Source organism: Homo sapiens, chromosome 2, assembly GCF_000001405.40.
Source record: "Homo sapiens chromosome 2, GRCh38.p14 Primary Assembly".
Classification (NCBI taxonomy): Eukaryota; Metazoa; Chordata; class Mammalia; order Primates; family Hominidae; genus Homo; species Homo sapiens.
The window spans coordinates 39,281,421-39,303,215 of record NC_000002.12 but is presented as its reverse complement, the minus strand read 5'-3'; the positions used below and the strand labels follow the sequence as shown (position 1 = coordinate 39,303,215).

The following is a 21,795-nucleotide window of genomic DNA, read 5'->3' as shown; positions in this document are numbered from 1 at the left end:
CCATAATTTTCTCATTTTTGATGGGAAAATATTTCTCCTGTTCTCTTTCTTGGTCAAGATATATTGCTCAAGTATTTTTTTCTTTTGTGTTTTTGTAGTGAACTGTATCAATTCTATTGACTTCCTGCTGCTTTCTCATCAGGTATAGACTTAAATCTCCCAAGGGGATTTTTTTTAAAACTACAATAAGATGTTTTTGGTCATATGCTTTTCCTTTTCCGGTGCTCCATGTTACATCCTTTGTTCATTTTCAGTTCTTTCTCACACTTTGTGTTCTTAGAAATTCCATCTGAAATTTAGAAATAGTCTCCCATTCGCTAAAATGAACTGCTGAAATTAGGACTTTGCAACCCAAAAAGATATTTTAATTGGGCTAGGATAACGATCTTGAACTTTTAATCTATACTAGGTTATTGCATGTTTTCAGCTCCTGTTACTTATTTGACTCTACTGTGTAAACACTGTCATTCATTAACAAGTTGATGCCTGATTAGTGCTACTAACTTTTTTTATGCTGGCATACTCAAGTGTTTCTTGTTTAGCTTGTAAAGAATGGCCATAAGATACCATCATCTTGGGATAGTTTGAGCGCCTTTCCAAGCATTATTTTGGTAGCATTTTTCTGATATGGAATAACTTCCAAATCCTTTTTGAAAAGCATTTTATATCAGTCTTTCTTAGACTGCCCCAACGACATATAATGAACTACTAACTTTGCCCTGGTTTCACTTTTGTTCCTTTCCTTTTTATTTCTTGTCATTTTCCCTATCCGATTTTCTGTATGAATTCCTGTCAGATAATAGGTGCTTGGTAAACAATGGTTGTATTAAATGAGATTAGAAACTTTTTAGAAGGATTTAAAGTAATATTTTACTTATGGTATTCCTAGCACATTGTTTTGTTCCATGGTTGCTATAACATAATTTAAGGAGAAGAAATTGTTAAAGAATGAGCCCCTTTGAATTTCACCTTTCCTGGTAAGACTTGGGACATGACCCATTTAATCGTCGGACTTGGATGTATCTACAACTTCTTTCCTGGCCTGAATGTTATTCTCTATATGAGCCTATGCTCAATTTTCTATTAATATATTACTTTAGTTATTTTAGATACTTTTCTTACCTTTCTAAATATACTGCTGAACTCAGTTTATTTTCTTTATTTTTTTTTAATTTTTTTTATTATTATTTTTTGAGACAGAGTCTCTCTCTGTCGCCAAGCTGGAGTGTAGTGGCGCAATGTTGGCTCACTGCAACCTCCGCCTCCCGGGTTCAAGCGATTCTCCTGCCTCAGCCTCCCGAGTAGCTGGGACTACAGGCGCGAGCCACCACGCCCAGCTAATCTTTTGTATTTTTAGTAGAGACAGGGTTTCATCATGTTGGCCAGGATGATCTCGACCTCCTGACCTCATGATCCGCCCGCCTCGGCCCTCCCGAAGTGCTGGGATTACAGGTGTGAGCCACTGCGCCCGGCCTATTTCCTTTATTTTTAATCATTATTACCGCGCCCGGCCTATATCCTTTATTTTTAATCATTATTACCAGCCTTTTACTTGTCTTATATCAGATGAGCTGAGTATTTTTATGACACATCTGTGTTTGTATAACAGAAGAGCCATGGCCATTCCACACGAATGTGTGCTTTTGGAAGCTGTCATTTGATTAAAGGCTTAAGAGATTGTATTGGCTAAAGATATAGCTGGTCTGATAGAGGGCCCAGTTATCTATAGCTGAAGAAAACAAATTTTGTGTTTATTTAATTTAGTACTTCTCTTTACTGAATACTACAGTTTAAGGATTCAGTGGTAAAGTCATGACCACTTAAACTGTGCAGTTTTGTAATAACAATGATTTTATCTTATTAAGATATATCATTACAAATTAAAGAGTACAGATGTCCTTTTTCATTGGAATTTTGTGTGATACCAGTGTGACAGTCAACTAGTCTTTTTTATGATGTGTTATCTTTTCTCACACTGATAAGAACACTTTATTATGCATGGAATAACACAAATATTGAAGAAGACAAAATTTGAGTCTTGTCTAAACCAGGATTTTGATTTTAATTTTCATCAGATTTTTTTGACAGGTCTTGGAATATTTAAATTTTAAAGTGCTTCTCTCTTAAATGTAATGTATTGCTTAAAATCCTTATATTTTGAGGCTTAGTTTTTAGTGTCATTTAGAATTAGCTTTGTGTATCTTAACGAGGCTGAAGTTTTATTTATGGGAAAATAAACAGTTGGCATTTGAACAAGCATTTATTTATGGTGCAGTCAGTTTGTGCCAGGAACAATGCTAGACCGTAGGCTGTAAGGAAAGAAGATAGATTTGATTATTTCCCATTGTTTAAGGAGCTCGCTTTTACAAACATGTAAATAGATTAAAATGCAGTGTAAGTGCTAGAGCAGCTCTGTGTGTTAAATGCTATGGAAACTTAGAGAAAGCTGCAGATAATTTTCCCTGGCAATCTTGGAAGGCGGCTGCTCCAAGGTGGCTTTTGTGTTAAGCCCTGATCATGAATCTGAGAATATCTTGTAAAAATAAAAAGCACTTTAAATATGCTATATTCTAATGTAAATAAGATTCATTTTTTAAATGTCAAATATTCCCCCTTAATGGTTAAAACAGTGCCTAGATTACAGTGGCTCTTTAAGAAGAGGACAAAAGGCAGCTTTACTTCATTCTTTTCATGGTTGTTGGAAAGCACATTTCTTTTTCTCAAGAAGGCATTTGAGTTGAGCATGTGTACTGTTCATCCTTTTAAATGTTAATTCTTAACACTCTATAACCCACAGCATTAAGTCGGAAGGTGTTTAAACAGTTGAGGAACTGCCTTAATACTCATTTGAAGTTTTGCTTAAAAAATTATTAAAAGTCCTTCAGTACAATTTATAATATTGTACAAGTTCATATACGTAATTTACTTTTAAAATAGCACCCAATTTCATATCTTTAAAAAATTGTTACCTGCGTGAAACAGCAGTAGAAATATGTGAAAGTGTTTATATACGTAATTATTTTAGATACTATATACAAAGTAAACCAAGATTTTTGTCACATATTCACTTCTCTGAACGTTTTTGCTTCATTATAACTGGAGAATAAACACCTTATTTGAGCTTTTTTCTTTCTAAAAACTGATTTTTACAAAAGTTAATTAAAGTAACAGTAACCAAAAATGAAACTTTGCATATATTATTCAGAAAAATTCCAAGAAAAACACTCAAATAATAAAATACTTAAATCAGGACTATGAACTCGTGAAATCCTTCTTTTTAAGAATGTATAGCAATACAGATTTATTTGGGGGTCTGGGACTTATCTTTTAAAAATAATATGTATTATATATATTAATGTATCATGGTGTGTCATATACTACTATTGTGCTAAATATTTTATTTTGTACTATTAGGATCTGCAACTGGAATATGGACAAGGACACCAAGGTGGTTACTTTTTAGGTGCAAACAAGTAAGTAAAGTTCTTTTAAAACTTAATTTAAATTCAAGAATTATTAAGTTGCCTTTAATATTATATTTTAATATTTAAGGTAGAAAATTGTATTAGGCTGGTAGATATATTTTACAATATGCATTTCACCTTTTTCCATTGCTTCCTTGCTCATTATTTAGTTAATAGTTGTCCTAATGGGAAGCATCAACATAATTTTTTTATATCAAGCTACATTGCTGATCTTGTATGTTAGAGAAAACCACATGTATTGCCACTGAAGGCAGATACATGTTTTAGCACTTTATTTCTAAAACTGATCTGTTTATTTCTTATAAAACTTGCTTTGGTACATCTCTAAGATGGGTTGGTCACTAAAAACAGCTGGAATTATTCATACAACTTAGAAATCTTAACTTTTTAGCTATAAGGTTTTTTTAAAGTAAGATAGCAGTTAAAATGTGTGTCTGAATTCTTAAAAGTTACCAATCTATGCAGTAAATAAATTCAACAGTTATTTAATGCCTCTTCTACACCAGGCACTGTCTAATTGATAGAGGCACAGAGGTTTAAAAGGCAGCTTACAAACATTAACAATTTAAATTGTTCATTTGCCAGGTATGATGGGAGACAGAATTTTGCTATTCCCCTTAGAGTCTCATTTTCTAAGTTTGTGGATAAATTATGATAAAAACTAATTTATAAGGGAATATAATTTAAATTACCAAAATCTTCCAGCAGTGCATATATTATTTTAATAGTCAGAACAAGTTAAAATTCCTTTTTTTTTTTTTTTTTTGAGGCAGAGTGTCACTCTGTTGCCCAGGCTGCAGTGCAGTGGCGTGAACTTGGCCCACTTCAACCTCCGCCTCCCGGGTTCAAGTGATTCTCATGCCCCAGCCTCCCAGTAGCTGGGACTACAAGGGCCTGCCACCATGCCAAGCTAATTTTTTGTATTTTTGTAGAGACTGGGTTTCACCATGTTGATCAGGCTGGTCTCGAACTCCTGGCCTCAAGTGATCCACCTGCCTCAGCCTCCCAGAAGGTGCTAAGATTACAGGTGTGAGCCACCGTGCCTCGCAAAATTTCAAAATATTATTTCAGTTGCATTAGAGAGTTGAGACATATATATTCCCATATTTTAAGTTAAGCAGTTGAGAAATAGTAACTAAAGACAAATAGCTTAGTTTTAAGGGTAATAATGCAAAATCATGTTTCTCTCTTTTTTTAATAAACTAAATACCAAATGTTTAATTTTTTTAGTTAAATATGCTATCCTTTCCTAACAGAGAGAAAAGGCTTTAATAACAATCTGGAGAAATATATTAGTTTTTATTTAAGCTGAACTTCAGTTAAATACTATCAGAGTTTTAAAAATATTATTAGCTTTGATACTATTATTAAGTCATTATTATTATTAGCATTTATGTTTTTTAAAATGGAAAATAAGTGTAAAATTTTCTTGGCAGAGAAAATGAAATTTTACCTAAATAGTTGACTATTTGTGATTTATAAATTGTCTTAGTTTGTTGGTGAAAAACAAAGGAAAGTTTGTCTCATAGTGGATTCGCAAATAAAAAAAATTTTTGAAGTGTTTTTATGTTATTTTCTCTAAATATGAAGTCCCTAATTTTAAGGTCCTTGTTAGTAAATTTTAGTGTATTTTAAGAGACTGAAATTTTTGGGAAAATATTTTTTACCTTTTTTGATTCATTTAAAATACATTTTAAAAATCTGTACATGCAAAGTACAAAAAAAAAATGTAGCCCCTCACTAAATGCTTTTCCAGATTCCTTAGTTTCCATTGTCTGATTTCTGATTGTTAGACATTTTCGTAGTGTATAGTTATTTTGGCTAGGTAAAATGTTAATAATTTGCCCAACCTTCATTTTTTGATGAATTGGATCCCTGCTTAAGGAACTGTATTCTATGTAACGAACCCTTGGCAAGGTAGGTTGGCCAAAAGTTTGCTCTTTGGCTGTGTTTCGTGTGTAGGTATAGACATACATGTGACATGAGCATGGATGTAGCACTTCTCTTGCTGTATTGATATGTCTGCTTTATTCTTGTGATTAGGCAGTGTTTTAAAAACGGGATTTCCTGCTTTCTCCATAGGTGATCAGGCAGACAGATTTCCATTGACGGGTTTCTACCTATTCCAGACCGTGCAGGAACTATCTAATTATAATTGTTAACATAGGTCTTTTCTTTTTCTAACAGGAAGCATATGTACTTTGACTTATACTTGCTTGTCTCCTTTTCTTTGGAATTCTAATCTCACTAAGGTCAGCTTTTCTGATAATTTATTTAAAACCAACAAAATACTATTTTTAAAAGAAAACACTAGGCCGGGCATGGTGACTCACGCCTGTAATCCCAGCACTTTTGGAGGCCGAGGCGAGTAGATCACCTGAGGTCAGGAGATCGAGACCAGCCTGGCCAACATGGTGAAACCCCGTCTCTATTAAAAATACAAAAATTAGCTGGACATGGTGGCACACGCCTGAGGTCCCAGCTACTCGGGAGGCTGAGGCAGGGGAATCGCTTGAACCCAGGAGGCGGTGGTTGCAGTGAGCCGAGATCGTGCCATTGCACTCCAGCCTGGGCGACAAGAGTGAAACTCTGTCTCAAAAAAAAAAAAGAAAAGAAAACATTAAATTATTTATGTTTTGTTTTAATTTAGGGCAAAAATGTTGAAGGTAAATTCTCTTCTAATAAGTAATAGTTAAAAGAGTACATTGAATTACACAATTCCTGGCACAGTTGAGTATAGTAGTAGTAAATGCCAGATGGCTTTTCCTATAAGCTACATGACTTTGAGAAATTTACCTCTATTATTGCTAGTAAAATGGATAATATAATAGTACCTGCCTCATAGGGTGCTAAGGATGAAATGGAATAATTGCTATAAAGCATTTAGCACATTTAGGACTTAGTAAATACTTATTAGTTGCCTTTATTTATGGTAGTTATTCAGTAAATAATTGTTGATTGTATGAACAAGTAGTAATGTGAGTGAATAAAACTGCTGTTTAATTTTAGAGAAATAGGGTTTTTGTTTGTTTGCTTGTTGGTTTGAAATGTAATCAGAGCAGTACTTACAGATTGGGGGCAGTTAGACAATTTTTAAAGATGTTAATAACCGCAGCACTGATTCTTTAGCTAATGCAAATATGCTGAGTATTTTGGTGGTCATTTTAGACCTCTGCCATATCTGTTTGTACATTGTTTCATTTTTAACCTTTTCGTCAACATTTCTTACTCATTTTAGATTGTCTTAGAATTCAGCATCTGAAAGCATTGTTTTTGTTTTGTTTTGTTATTTACTTTATAAAACTTCCATAAGAGAAGAATTCAAGTGGACTAGTGAATAGTGACATTGTTTATTGTGTAACATTCAATCTTGGTGAATAAATCAGTATCACATTTTCTCCAGTGCTCTCAAGATGCAATATTTACTGTAAACAGACTTTTTAGCAAATTTAGCCATATTTCATTTTCTCTTTTATAAAGCCTAAAAAGTAAATCATGCATCCTACTTTTCATTAAGACCGTATTAATTCTGTAATTTCATTAATAAAATATGTTAACACACAATGGGGATTTATAGGTAAATGAATTAAAATATACATATGAATCCCTGAGCCATGGGCTATCTGCTTTTTCATATTCACTTATTCAACCATTCTCTTATTGTTAGAGAACTCCCAGAAAGATTCTTTTTAAAAAAGTGGAATGCTGGCTGGGTGTGATGGCTCACGGCTTATACCTGTAATCCCAACACTGGGAAGCCAAGGCGGGTGGATCACTTGAGGCCGGGAGTTCAAGACCAGCCTGGGCAATATAGTGAGACTCAGTCTTTACTGAAAATACAAAAATTAGCCGGGCATGGTGGTGCACGCCTGTAATCCTAGCTACTCGGGAGGCTGAGGCACGAGAATTGCTTGAACCTGGGAAGTGGAGGTTGCAGTGAGCCAAGATCACGCCACTGCACTCCAGACTGGACCAAAAAAGCAAGACTCCATCTCAAAAAAAAAAAAAAAAAAAACATGGAATGCGAATGCAATATAAATCCAATTAAATATGGTACATTTTAAATTATCTTCCTGTATTCAAATCCTAATATTTTCTATTGTAAAAAGAAATATCTCAAAAAAGATTGTCATGTGCTTAACAAAAAAGTATTTTTTCACATCTAAAATTACATAAAAGCCAACTGTACAGTTCAGATACATTATGTTTAATTTGGTAAAATAGTTTAAAGCAGCACTTCTCAAATATTTGGTCTCATGATTTTTTTACAGTGTTTAAAATTATTGAGGATTCCAAAGAGCTTTTGTTTATGGGGGTTATAACTATCAATATTTATAGTATTCAAAATTAAACTTTAGAACTTTTCAAAATGTTAATATATTTTTAAAATAATATTATTTGTTATAAATAACATACTTTTGTGTGTGTGTTTAAAAAAAAATCTCCATTCTTAAGGACCAACTCAAATGCCAGCTCTTCACAGTGGTTTCTTAAAACACCTCTGATTTCTCTCCTGAGACTCAGAGGCAGTGAATAATTGCCATAAAAGGTTTTATTATATATGTCAGTGCACTGCAGAACACTTTTTGTTGAGGTCCACTAATAACATTTTTTTATGAAAAAAATAGCTATTTTTTATGAGACAAAATAATATTAGTAAAAAAAAGTAGCATTGTTTTACTTTTTTTTTTTTCAAGTCTTGTTAACATTGCCTTAATAGAAGACAGCTAAATTCTCATGTCTGCTACTGCATTCAATCTGTTGTGGTATCACACATCTTGTAGTCTCTGGAAAACTCCAGTGTATACTCATGAGAAAATAAGAGCAACAAAGGTATTACATATTGTGAAAATAGTTTGGACCTTGCAGACCCCTACAGGAGACTAAGAGACCCCAGGATTTTTATACCACAATTTGAGAACTGCTAGTTTAAGGAAATGTTATTTAGCCAATAGTAATAAAGAAAATACTAATCAAGTCCCAACTCTGTCCTAAATTACCCTTCTGGGCACTTTACCTACATTAATTCAGTAGACCTTCTGACAGCCACTTTGAAATAAGTACTGAGGTAATTTCTACTTTACATAGCTGGAAATCAAAGCATAGAGAAATCAGAGTAACTTATCCAGTGCCATATCCTGTGATGGTGAAGGCAGGATTCAGATTCAGGCCGTCTTGGCTTTAAAGCCTGTCTGCATTTTGCTCTAGTGCCTCTAGACAGAAGCTCCTGCTTTCTTAGAGTTGGCCCTTGGAGAGCTTTGTGAATAAGATAATATTTGACTGTGGTACCTCACTTTTTGTATCTCCAAAATAGGACTTGCAATTAGTTTGTGGTTTTCCTATAGAATTTACCACTCTGGAGTCATAAGTTTTTCATTTTTTAAAATTTAAATTGTTGTTAATCTAGGCTAATTAAAATATTGATGCCTAAAACCTATTCTGTTAATTGCTTACAGTAGATAACCATACCTTTCAGTTTCTCTAGTTTTATGTTTTGTAATTTTAAGGGCAGTTTTTCCTGATATGTATTAGGAGGGAAAATAATTAAAAGGTGCTACCTGATAACTTTTAGGGAGAGTAAAACTTTTGCTGACTCTCTTTTATCCCAGTAGTATATTAGTAACTATATTTATCTCCCCTATTAGCTTTGAGAAGTCTATCGAGTCTTTATGCTCGAAGAGTGTAATTTAGGAGGTATGCTGCATGAACTTGCGGTAAAAAGAAGTAAGGGAACTTCAGGAATGCCATAGTTCTCTCTTACATTCCTGAAAATTAAAGTTTTGTATACTGCTCCTAATGGTAAAATCCTCGACCTGGTCTGATACAGGCTTAGTCTCCCAAAAGTGTAAATGTGTTTGCCCGTGCACCACTGGAGAACAAATCCTTCAGGTAAGTGAGTGTCTTCCGTGAAAGCAAAGTGCTACTACATTCATGTATTCACATCACATGCATGCATGCTTCTGCAGAGAGATCCAACATGGTGAGTTTCATTTTGTAGGATTGCCTGAGAGCATGATGTTATTTTGAAGTGTGTCACCTTCCTTATTTTAAGAAAAAGAAAGTATATATAATTTCAGGTGTCAGGTATAAAATTCCAGGTAAAATTTGAATCCTGGAGACTCCTGGCTATGACCCTGCAATTATTGTTTTGTCAGTACTGTTGTGACATTCCATGGTGAGTTGTCTTCTGTTTGAATTGGTATTTTTCAATAAATATTAGGATTTATTTTGTTCATTTAAAATACATATATAAAGACATTGGCAACAGGAAAATAGAGGTATTTTATTAAATATAACTTGATGTTTTATGGTTGCAGAGGTGATCACTAGCAAATTTTCAGTAAATGGTAAAAAAGTAATCATTCAAAAAATGTATGGTTAAGGTTAAAATGATAAAAACACATTCGATATTCCTTTGATAATTTATTCACATTATTTTTTGTTTTTGTTTTTTCTTTTAAGGAGTCTTCTCAAGTCTGTTGAAGAAGAATTGCATCAGCGGTAATTTTAATTTTTAATCTTAAAGTACTTTATGTCACAGACAAGTAAAGTCAGTTTGCCTTCTTCTCTGTTATGTAGCCTATTTGTTTGCGTTGTCTTTTTTTTCTTTAATAGAGATAGGGTCTCGCTCTGTTGCCCAGGCTGGATTGCAGTGGTATGATCATAGCTCACTGCAGCCTTGAACTCCTGGGCTCAAGCGATCTTTCCACCTCATCCTCCCTAGTAACGGACATCACGATCCACCGCTCCCAGTTCCTTGTTTTAATTCTGAATCTATCCTATCCTATAAAGATGCAGAAATAAAATTTTATCTTACAGTAGCTTTTCCTGCATTTTCTAAAATTTCTTCTTACTGTTTTGGTAAAATCCATTTAATAACAATGACATTATCCTTTTTATTTAGAGGACACGTCGCACATTTAGAAGATGATGAAGGAGATGATGATGAATCTAAACAGTAAGTTCTGTCTCTGTTTTTGGTAAAAAGAAAAGGTGTCATTTGACCTGATTTCATCAATCTGGCAGCTTAATATTGATGGAAATTTCAATATCAGTAACACAATATCATGGGTTGTATCTCAGTTTCCTTCCTTTTTTCTATTCTAGTTACATTAACTTGGGCTGACATAACAAAATACCATAGACTTAGACAACAGAAATTTATTTCTCACAGTTCTGGAGGTGGGAAGTTCAAGATCAAGGTACCAACCAACTTGGTGAGGGCTGCCTTCTTGGCTTGCAGACAGCCGTCTTCTGGCCATGTCTTCACGTGGCCTTTCCTCAGTGTATGCACATGGTGGGATCAGGGGTAAGAGTGATCTCTCTCTCTCGTAAGATCACCAATCCATAGGATTAGGATCCCACTGTTACAACCTCATTTAAGCTTAATTACTTCCTAAAAACCCATCTCTAAATATAATCACATTGTGGGTTAATACTTCAACATGTGAATTTTATAGTGACACATTTCAGTCCATTTTTTCCAAAGGACAATAATTTTTTATTGTAGATTTATCAGTGATTGATAGCTGCTGTAATTTTACTACAACTACAAAGAAGCTTATTATAAATTTGATTAAATTTTAATCTGTTATATTTCAAGTGAACAAATACTTTGGATGTAAATATATAGTTTTAAAGGAGGAATATTTTTACTATTATGTATGCATTGATGTTTACTTTTTTTTTTTTAATAAAGATGCAGTTTCATGGTAAAATGATAAGAGCACTTGAGTAGCAGTTGAGGGCATAGGTTGATCTTGGGTAAAGTTACATAAACTTTCTAGGCCTTGAAATCCTCATCTGAGACATTTGTGCTTCATCATATTACAATTTTTTCTTTCTTTCTTTTGAGAAAGGGTCTTGCTTGCTCTGTGGCCCACCTGAAGTGCAGTGGTGTGATCTTGGCTCACTGCAGCCTCGACCTCCTGGCTCAAGCAGTCCTCCCACCTCAGCCTCCTGAGTAGCTGGGACTGCACCTCCACACTTCCTAATTTTCTATTTTTTGGTAGAGATGGGTTTCCACCATGTTGTCCAGGCTGGGCTCGAACTCCTGAGCTCAAGCAATCTGCTCACCTCAGCCTCCTAGAGTGCTGGGATTACAGGCATGAGCCACTGTGACCAGCCTCTTTCTGTTTCTAAAACTGATCCTGAGTTATAATGAATCCTAACTTCAGTCACATTCTGCATATAATTTCATAAAGCATATATATAGTTTTTGATGAGCTTCATCAAAGATGTTTCATATCTAACAGTAGCAAAAATGAAGTTTACAATGTGATATATTTTATACTGTATCATTTATTTCATAAGCCAGATGTGGCTTATGTTCTTAATTATTTACCTTTCAGTTGATATAAACTGGAATTATAATTATCTTTCCCAGTTTTAATTACAATATAGTACTTGGAACCAAGAAAGTGTATTACCCAATTACTTCTTTTTAAATTGAATTTAATTCTTTTAACTGAAATAATTATAATACAAATTTCTGTGGTACATAGTAACGTTTTGATACATATAATGTAGTGATCTGATCAGGGTAATTAGCATATCCATCATCTCAAACATTTATCATTTCTTTGTGTTGGAACATTCAATATCCTCCTTCTAACTATTTGCAACTAAATAACACATTATTGGTTTTTTGTTTTGTTTTGTTTTTTGAGACAGAGTCTTGCCCTGTCACCCAGGCTGGAGTGCAGTGGTGTGATCTCAGCTCTCTGCATGCAGGCTCTACCTCCCAGGTTCATGCCATTCTCCTGCTGGGACTACAGGCACCCGCCACCACACCTGGCTAATTTTTTTGTATTTTTAGTAGAGATGGTGTTTCACCATGTTAACCACGATGGTAGGATGGTCTTGATTTCCTGACCTCGTGATCTGCCCACCTCGGCCTCCCAAAGTGCTGGAATTACAGGCGTGAGCCACCACGCCCGGCCCGTTATTGTTAACTATAGTCATCCTACAGTGGTATAAGAGAGTAGTAATACTTACATACTGTAAGTATTTACATAACTGTAATTTTGTATTCTTTAACAAATCTCTCCCTTTCGTCCCCTTTTCCCTGCCCTTCCCAGTTCCTAGTATCCTATGTTCTGCTTTTTACTTCTATGAGATCAACTTTTTTTTTTAGCTTCCACATGAGTAAGATCATGCGGTGTTTAACTTTCTGTTTTGGCTTATTTCACTTAACATAATGTCCTCCAGTTCCCAGTTACTTCTGAATAATACCTCTAGCAACATTTCACAAAATACTTTAGAAAAAACTTACAATCTTAGAAAATGATATTTGTCTTTGCAGCTTTTTTATGTGTCTTTGAAAAAATTATTATATTTTAGGATTGATTCATTTGTAAAATGAATAGTTCTGATTCTAAACTTTTCTGTTTTTAGCTCAACTCTGAAAGCAAAAATTCCACCTCCTTTGCCACCAAAGGTAGACAGATTTATTTTTCAATTTGATATATGTGTGTTATTGTTCTGCCAATTTAATACTTTGTTGAGAGTTTTTCTAGCTTTTCATTTGTGATCCACAAAGAAAAATCATGAAGTTGATATAAGTAAATGATTTTTTATTATGTTTGTCTCATTTTATAATGCCCAACTTATATTTAGTGTTCTTTTTTTTTTTTTTTTTTTTTTTGAGACAGTCTCACTCTGTCACCCAGGCTGGAGTACAGTGGCATGATCTCGGTTCACTGCAGCCTCCTCCTCTCGGGTTCAAGCAATTCTCCTGCCTCAGCCTCCCCAGTAGCTGGGATTACAGGCACCCACCACCAGGTCCAGCTAAAGTTTTGTATTTTTTAGTAGAGACTGGGTTTTGCCATGTTGGCCAGGCTTGGCTCAAACTCCTGACCTCAGGTGATCTGCCTGCCTTGGCCTCCCAAAGTTGTGGGATTACAGGCATGAGTCACTGTGCCTGGCCTTATTTAATGTTCATTCTAAGTAACAAGTCCTAGGAATTTACACTGAAAATGATTGTATTAATGGATTAGTGTTATTTGACTTGGGTTAGAAAACTCACATTTCTTACAAGATTGTTTTTCTCAAAATCTGCAACCTATTCCTGACTTCTAAGAATGAATAAAGGATAGTAATTTATCATCATAGATATTTAATTTTCAAAAGATAATTTTAATTAAAAATACAAAATAGTACAATTTTTAAATGCTTTTTAACAACAAAATTATTTTTCCAAACAAAATCATTCTAAAATAGTAATTTCAACTGATGGGTTGTTTTTTTTAAAGGTAAAATGAGCTAATATATACTTTATAAGTTCATATGCATAGCAAATTTTAATTATAATATGAGTTGCTTTAAAGTTTAAAATCAAAGTGTTACAAATGAGAGTTGGAGTCTTATCAGTCTTGTCATTCGGTTTATTACTATTTTTATTTATTTTCATTTTATACAATTGAGAAAATCCTGATTCATGCAAGTAAATAATGCTGTACTTGCTTGTTTAGTTTTATCATAGCAGAAGTAAAGAGATCTGAATTTCAAAGAAATAAGTGCTGAGCAATAATAAGAGACACGTTATAAATTCTACAAACCGTCAGCCAACTGTAGATTTTTCCATTGTTTGTACAGAAAGTGTCTCAGGCATCCCATATTGCTATGTTTGTATTCTCCAACATGATAACGTTTTTTGTTTTTTTGTTTTGTTTTGTTTTGAGATGGAGTCTCGCTCTTTCGCCCAGGCTGGACTGCAGTGGCGCTATCTTGGCTCACTGCAAGCTACGCCTCCCGGATTCATGCCATTCTCCTGCCTCAGCCTCCTGAGTAGCTGGGACTACAGGCACCCGCCACCACGCCCAGCTAATTTTTTGTATTTTTAGTAGAGACGGGGTTTCACCATGATAGCCAGGATGATCTCGATCTCCTGACCTCGTGATCCGCTCGCCTCAGCCTCCCAAAGTGCTGGGATTAGAGGCGTGAGCCACCGCACCCGGCCACATGATAACATTTTAATTGGTATCCTCTCATGCCCCTGGTCTGAAAGATTAAGCATTACCATAAAGACATTGAGTCATCTAAGAGACAGCTTAGATTAGCCTTGATACGGAGCTGAACTTTGACTAGTCTGAATATTTGAAATAAAAAGAGATTGATTTAAATTGAAGGAGATAAGAAAGACTAAAATATTTTTATTTGGCTAGTCTAAGTGGGGAGACTTGTGAGGAATTAATAAAAAAGTCGACTTAGAGGCCCTTTTATTTGCACAGCAGCAAAACCTGAGATGTACACATTTTAGTGTACATTTTTAGAATATATTTAAAACAATAAGATAGTCTGAATTGGATGGTTGAGTAACCTTTAAACTCATCTGGTAAACCTCTAATGTATAGTAGAAATAATTTGAAAGCTTTTAATGTATAATAGTACTTACTTCAGGAAAATAATTTGATGTTTCATTGTTGGTCTCTTTTTCTATATTATTTCAGCCTAAGTCTATCTTCATACCACAGGAAATGCATTCTACTGAGGATGAAAATCAAGGAACAATCAAGAGATGTCCCATGTCAGGGAGCCCAGCAAAGCCATCCCAAGTTCCACCTAGACCACCACCTCCCAGATTACCCCCACACAAACCTGTTGCCTTAGGTAATGGTGGAGGGTGACAGCAAATATGTTACCAGGTTTTCATACTATGGGGAGAAAAAAAACTTTCTTTTAAGAGATTATTTGAAATTCTTTTGGTGGAGGACAGAAGGAAAGCAGTGGCTATGGAGATGTTTTCTGCTTTTTGCCTACTAGCTTAAAGTGTTTTTATGACAGGATTCCCTATGACACAGTCTGAGATATTTTGTCCTCATTTCTCATTTCATATTTAGCCTTCTCTCTTCTAGAGACTGGTTCCCCATTCATTTAGCTACGGTGTGGAAACAATGCAAATTAAACTATGAACAAACATGGAAAATGTGTTTTGCGTCTAGGTTACTTCTGTTTTAGAAGAGAGTACCTTGTCCTAACTCCTTATTTCATTTAATCATTTCTAAAAAAATAATTGGTATTATTTGCTAGGTATTTGCCTCCAAATTAATACTAGAAGGTGCTATTTTAACACTGTAAAGACTCCTCTGTGTTTATCCAGAAGAAGCAATTTTAAAAAAGAGCAACTAGGCTGGGCATGGTGGCTCACACCTGTAATCCCAGCACTTTGGGAGGCCGAGGCAGGTGGATCACCTGAGGTCAAGAGTTTGAGACCAGCCTGACCAACATGGTGAAACTCCATCTCTACTAAAAAAAAAAATACAAAATTAGCTGGGCGTGGTAGCGCATGCCTGTAATCCCAGCTACTTGGGAGACTAAGGCAGGAGAATCGCTTGCTTGAACCTGGGAGGCGGAGTTTGCACTGAGCCAAGATCACGCCATTGCACTCTAGCCTGGGTGATAAGAGCAAAACTCCTTCTCAAAAAAAAAAAAGAGCAACTAAAGTTTCTTGGATGACATAATAATAAATCACCCCTTTTCTAAAAGTAGTTATGAATTCAGTATTTGGTTTTTTAATGCTAACAAATACATGCACTTATACACAACCTGAATTTAAATTTGCCTAATATGCCAGAAATAGAGGTATAAATAGAAGAACATATATATAAATGACGTCTTACTTTCATAGTAAATATTCTGATTGGGTGATCCCAAATGAATAATGACACTATGTCAGAGTTAATATTTTTTCTTTCCTACTTGATAACTTTCTGAATAAAAGTTTTCATGAAGATTAATCATTTTCAATGAATATATCTTATTGAAGGAAATGGAATGAGCTCCTTCCAGTTAAATGGTGAACGAGATGGCTCATTATGTCAACAACAGAATGAACATAGAGGCACAAACCTTTCAAGAAAAGAAAAGAAAGATGTACCAGTAGGTATTGATAGTCATAAGTTCTACTTGTATTTGTTTCCTTTTTAACTGTTAAGTTAGTTTTATGCTTACAATTAGTGACACTATAGCACTAGTATATTTTACAATTACTATATTGATATTTTAGTATATTAATTATAATGGTGAATAGATTATTTAAATCTTGAAAAAAGTAACTTAGCTATGGTAAACTTGAATGATGGCTTTTTATCGTTTACATTATTTAGACCAATTTGTTATGTAGTACGTTATAAAACATCTTCTTTATACAGATAAATGCTTAGTATTCTTGTGATTATTCACAAAATAACTATTATTATTCTCATTGAGGATAATTGATTCTTGATAGTTTCTCTTACAGTCTCATGAAGTTACGGAAAGAAGGACATAGATAAAGAAAGCTGTAGCTTCTACCCCAGGACAAATTTCTAACTATAGATCAGGGGTCCCTAACCCCTGGGCCGCAGACCAGTAATGGTCAGTGGCCTGTTAGGAACCAGGCCACACAGCAGGAGGTGAGCAGTGGGCAAGTGAGCATTACCGCCTGAGCTCCACCTTCTGTCAGGTCAGCTGCAGCATTAGATTCTCGTAGTGCAAACCCTGTTGTGAAGTGTGCATGCAAGGGATCTAGGTTGCACGCTGCTTACACGAATGTAACTAATGCCTGATTATCTGAGGTGGAACAGTTTCATCCCCAAAACATCCCTCCCCTTCAACCCCCATCTGTGGAAAAATTGTCTTCCACGAAACCAGTCCCTGATGCCGAAAAGGTTGGGGAACCACTGTTAGAGATTACATAAGTAGTGACATTGCTGCTCTTACTTACCACTTCAAGAAAGGTGAAATTAGTCTTAGCAGCTACTCCTATCACAAATGTTAGCTAAAACATCAGAACTATTAAAACATAAATGTTATTCATCAGGGATCATAAGAGATGAAACATTTTAAACATTTGTAAAGAATTGACTTACAATCACTGGAAGACATTCAACTATCATCATAGAATTTAAAATAGTAGAAAATCCTTAAAATCCCCAATATCTCAACAGATGTCAACAAGATGAATAGGGTTTTTTGGAAGTTTTTGTATATACTAATATTTGTTATTTTTATAGAAATTTCTAGTATATTCGGTATGTTTGTCTAGTACATTCAGTATGCTATGGTTTCTGCAGTAAGCACATCACTAGAGTCTTTTGTGCTATATCTGTTTAACTTTTTAAAAATATTTCACTATACAATATGACATATTATTCTTAAAATTCACATAAAGTATTTGGTGTTATTCATTGTAATTTCTGAAATTTAGGAATGGGTTTTATGAAGTTCTGTCCAACTGAGCAGTGCCTTTTTGCTTTCAACAATTTAAATTTTAATAGACCTGCTAACATAATAGTACAAAAATGCAGCTGAGTGACTGTAACACAGTATAAAATAAATAGCCTTTGAGAGATGTAAACTTTTTTTTTAACCTTTCCAATGGTACTAAGTAAACATTTTTTATGTATGCATTTTTAGTTCACTTTTTCTGTTAACTTACTTCATTAAGATAAGGAACTGTTTCAGTAATTCTGAAATAAATATGTCCATGGCTCTATCATAGGATAAACAGTATCAGTGATATATTGAAGCATGCTTACAGTTTATGCTGTAATTCTTGAAATTATTTACAGCCGTCACATCTGTAATCCCAGTGCTTTCAGTGGAAAAGGCAAGGGGATCACTTGAGAGCAGAAGTTCAAGACCAGCCTGGGCAACATAGCAAAACCCTGTCTCTACAAAAAATAAAAATTTAGCCAGACATGGTGGCATGCACCCATAATCCTAGCTGCTCAGGAGGCTGAGACAGGAGAATCACATGAGCCCAGGAGGTTGAGGTTAAAGTGAGCTATGCTTGCCTGCCACTGCACTCCAGCCTGGGTGACAGAGCAAGACCATATCTCTAAAAAAAATTAAATGATAATAAATAATAAATTTATTTTATTTTATTTATTTATTTATTCATTTTGAGATGGAGTCTCGCTCTGTCGCCCAGGCCAGAGTGCAGTGGCGCAATTTTGGCTCACTGCAACCTCCACCTTCTGGGTTCAAGTGATTCTCCTGCCTCAGCCTCCTGAGTAGCTGGGATTACAGGTGCACGCCACCACGCCTGGCTACTTTTTGTATTTTTAGTACAGACGGAGTTTCACCATGTTGGTCAGGCTGGTCTCGAATCCTTGACCTCATGATCTGCCTACCTCAGCCTCCCAAAGTGCTGGGATTACAGGCGTGAGCCACTGCGCCCAGCCTTATTTATTTTAAATAATATTTACAACCAGTTCTATTAGTGCTTAGGTTAAATCTGAGAGTTATAACACTCAGAGCTCCCTAATTTAAAATGATGTTTTGCTAGGCCGGGCACAGTGGCTCACACCTATAATCCGTACACTTTGGGAGGCCAAGACAGGTGGATCATTTAAGGCCAGGAGTTCAAAACCAACCTCGCCAACATGGTAAAACCCCATCTCTACTACAAATACAGAAACAGCCGGGTGTGGTGGCAGGCGCCTGTAATCTCAGCTACTCAGGAGGCTGAGGCACGAGAATCACTTGAACCTGGGAGGCAGAGGTTGCAGTGACCCGATATCGTGCCCCTGCACTCCAGCCTGGGTAACAGAGCAAGACTGTCTCAAAAAAAATAAAAAAACAACAACAAAAAAAGATGTTTTGCTAAAATAGATGACATCAGATAATTTAATAACATCAATATAAGAAAAAATATATATTATTTGCATAATGGAATAAAAAGGTATCAGAAATTATTGGCAATAATAAGATGTGCGCATCCTCAAAAATATATCTACAAAGTATGTCATTTTAATTTCAGAAATGTTATATTTTTATGTTGTATATATGAAATCAATTAACAGTAGCTTTTTTATTAGTTTTCATCTCATTGTTTAAGTGATTCTGATGTATGGCAGCTCTAGGGAAAAATTAGAATGTCATTCCTTAAAATGATGTTACTGAGATTAACCTTGAAAGAAATGTAGACTGTCACAAAGTTCATGTTTAAAGTATACCCAGGGGGTTCCCTCTCAGGGGACAGTTCGTATACTCAAGAATGTGGCCACTTGGAGAAATATCTGGCATTCTTCAGCATAGTGTGGGTGAGCAAATGTGTTACATTTCTTCTCCTTATAATTGCCTGTATACTCTAACCAATGATTAATATATTTGAATTCATCAAAATTTGGAACTTCACTTAGCAAAACTCATTGTAAACATGGTGAAGATTATCTACACAAGGAGAAACTATTTGTTGTATATATATAACAGATAAAATACTCAAACCTAGAATATATTTTTAAAAGCTCCAACAAATAGATATGAAAAAAGATAACTCAGTTAAAAAAAATGGGAAAAGAATTCACAAAAGAGGAAATACAGATAGCAAATAAACACTGGGTTAAAAAGATTCTTAATCTTCCTAGCAGTCAGAGGCATGCAAATTAATGAGGAGCACAGGAGAAAAGGTTTTTTACTAATCAGCTTGGTGATATTGCTGTGAGACTAGAAAGAACCAGGAGCTCTCATACATTGCTGGTGGGTGTGATGTGATATGTACACTCTGAAAAGCAGTTTGACAGTCAATATGCACTAAAATGTAAAAGATAGAGACCCTGTGTATCAGTAGTTTCTCAGTATACCCATACTGCGGTATACTTCTCACAGTATACCAATAAAGGCATCCACTCATACACTGTGTAAGTAGGTATATACAGGAAAGTTTATTTCAGCATCTGTGTTCTAGTAAAATATTGACAATAATCTAAATACCGAATAATGTTTAAGGATAGCTAAATAAAGTATATTTATGCCATGCTGCAGTTAAAACAAATGAACTAAGTCTACATGACCGATATGGATTACTGTCCAATTTTAAGGCAAAGATCCTGCAGATAGTGTATAACTATTTGTGTTTTAAATTCCTAACACACACACAAACACTATTTTCTATGGGAACATGTATTTACATATATACCAAAAATGTCTGGAAAGCCATATGATTACATAAGTATATCTAATTCACTAGAGAAAGATTTGGAAGGTTTTACACCAAACTAGTTTTTCTGGGGCAAGTACTAGAAATAGTGCATTGTGAAAGAATTATGGGGAACTTCAGCCTTAACTGTAATGTTTTGTTTTACAAAGAATGTATTCATGTATTTTATTTGAATAAATGTGTTTGAAATACAGTATTATTATATCAAACAGCAGCAAAAAAAGTGTAATCATACATGTGTTCTTTTTCTAGAAGCCTATTAGTAATGGTCTTCCTCCAACACCTAAAGTGCATGTAAGTACTAAATATGGAGTAGGCTAAGTTTCAAGCTAAGTCACTTGTGTGTGTTATCTTTGCTTAGGTTTTTTTGTCTGTTTGAAAGAACTTTCATTATTATTGAAAAAAAATCTATAAGATTGCTAATTTAATTACAGGCATGTGTCACCATGCCCCGCTAATTTTTGTATTTTTAATAGAGACAGAGTTTCACCATGTTGGCCAGGCTGGTCTCGAATTCCTGGCCTCAAGTGATCTGCCCACCTTGGCTTCCCAAAGTGCTGTGATTATAGGCATAAACTACCATGCCTGCCCTTTTTCTTTTTTTTTTTTTTTGAGACGGAGTCTCACTCTGTTGCCCAGGCTAGAGTGCAGTGGCATAATCTCAGCTCATTGCAAGCTCCACCTCCCAGGTTCATGCCATTCTCCTGCCTCAGCCTCTCGAGTAGCTGGGACTATAGGTGCCTGCCACCATGCCTGGCTAATTTTTTGTGTGTTTTTATAGAGACGGGTTTTACCATATTGGCCAGGCTGGTCTTGAACTTCTGACCTCAGGTGATGTGTGCACCTCGGCCTCCCAAAGTGCTGGGATCACAAGTGTGAGCCACCACGCCTTGCCGTTTTTTACCTTTAAATTCTACTTTTTAATTAGCACAGAGTATACTTTATAAACTGTATGTTACAAAATATATATACTTTATATTTGTAATTTATATAATACTTAAATTATAAATATTTTAAAATAATTTTAATATTGATTTATACAGTATACTTTATATTATATAGCATATATATTACAGCAGAGAAATACATAAAATAGGGCAGATTTTCCCACTTGACTGTAAGATAAAACACTTACCTCAGGCTTGCAGTTTGACAGGGAAAAGCTATCTGTGGAATGCCAGGTAGACTCCAGCTATACAAATTAGCTTAAGATTGGGAACTGGCTTGATTGTTTTGTTCTTCGTTTTGTCATTTAAATTTCTAGGGGTTAGCAGTACCCTAACACAGAAATTTCCGTAGCTGTCTTAAAAGGTCGTTATTAGGGTTAGTTAAATGATAGTTTCTGCCCTACATCCTAAAGACATGTTTCTATTGGTCTGCTACTAC

At 35.0% G+C, this 21,795-nt stretch overlaps 1 protein-coding gene across 6 annotated transcripts in view; it reads left to right on the top strand.

Moving 5' to 3' along the window:
* Positions 1-21,795, top strand: part of MAP4K3 (mitogen-activated protein kinase kinase kinase kinase 3) — a 188,020-nt gene that overhangs the window by 134,070 nt on the left and 32,155 nt on the right. For 5 of the 6 annotated variants that reach the window (NM_001410753.1, XM_047446092.1, NM_001270425.2 and 2 more), the window contains 7 exons: positions 3,415-3,473; positions 9,948-9,986; positions 10,390-10,443; positions 12,882-12,924; positions 14,936-15,095; positions 16,252-16,364; positions 20,662-20,703. In NM_001410753.1, the coding sequence (NP_001397682.1) occupies positions 3,415-3,473; positions 9,948-9,986; positions 10,390-10,443; positions 12,882-12,924; positions 14,936-15,095; positions 16,252-16,364; positions 20,662-20,703 (510 nt within the window). Of the gene's footprint in view, positions 1-101; positions 143-3,414; positions 3,474-9,947; positions 9,987-10,389; positions 10,444-12,881; positions 12,925-14,935; positions 15,096-16,251; positions 16,365-20,661; positions 20,704-21,795 lie in introns of those variants that run through there. The other variant, XM_024453183.2, reaches the window with a different exon arrangement.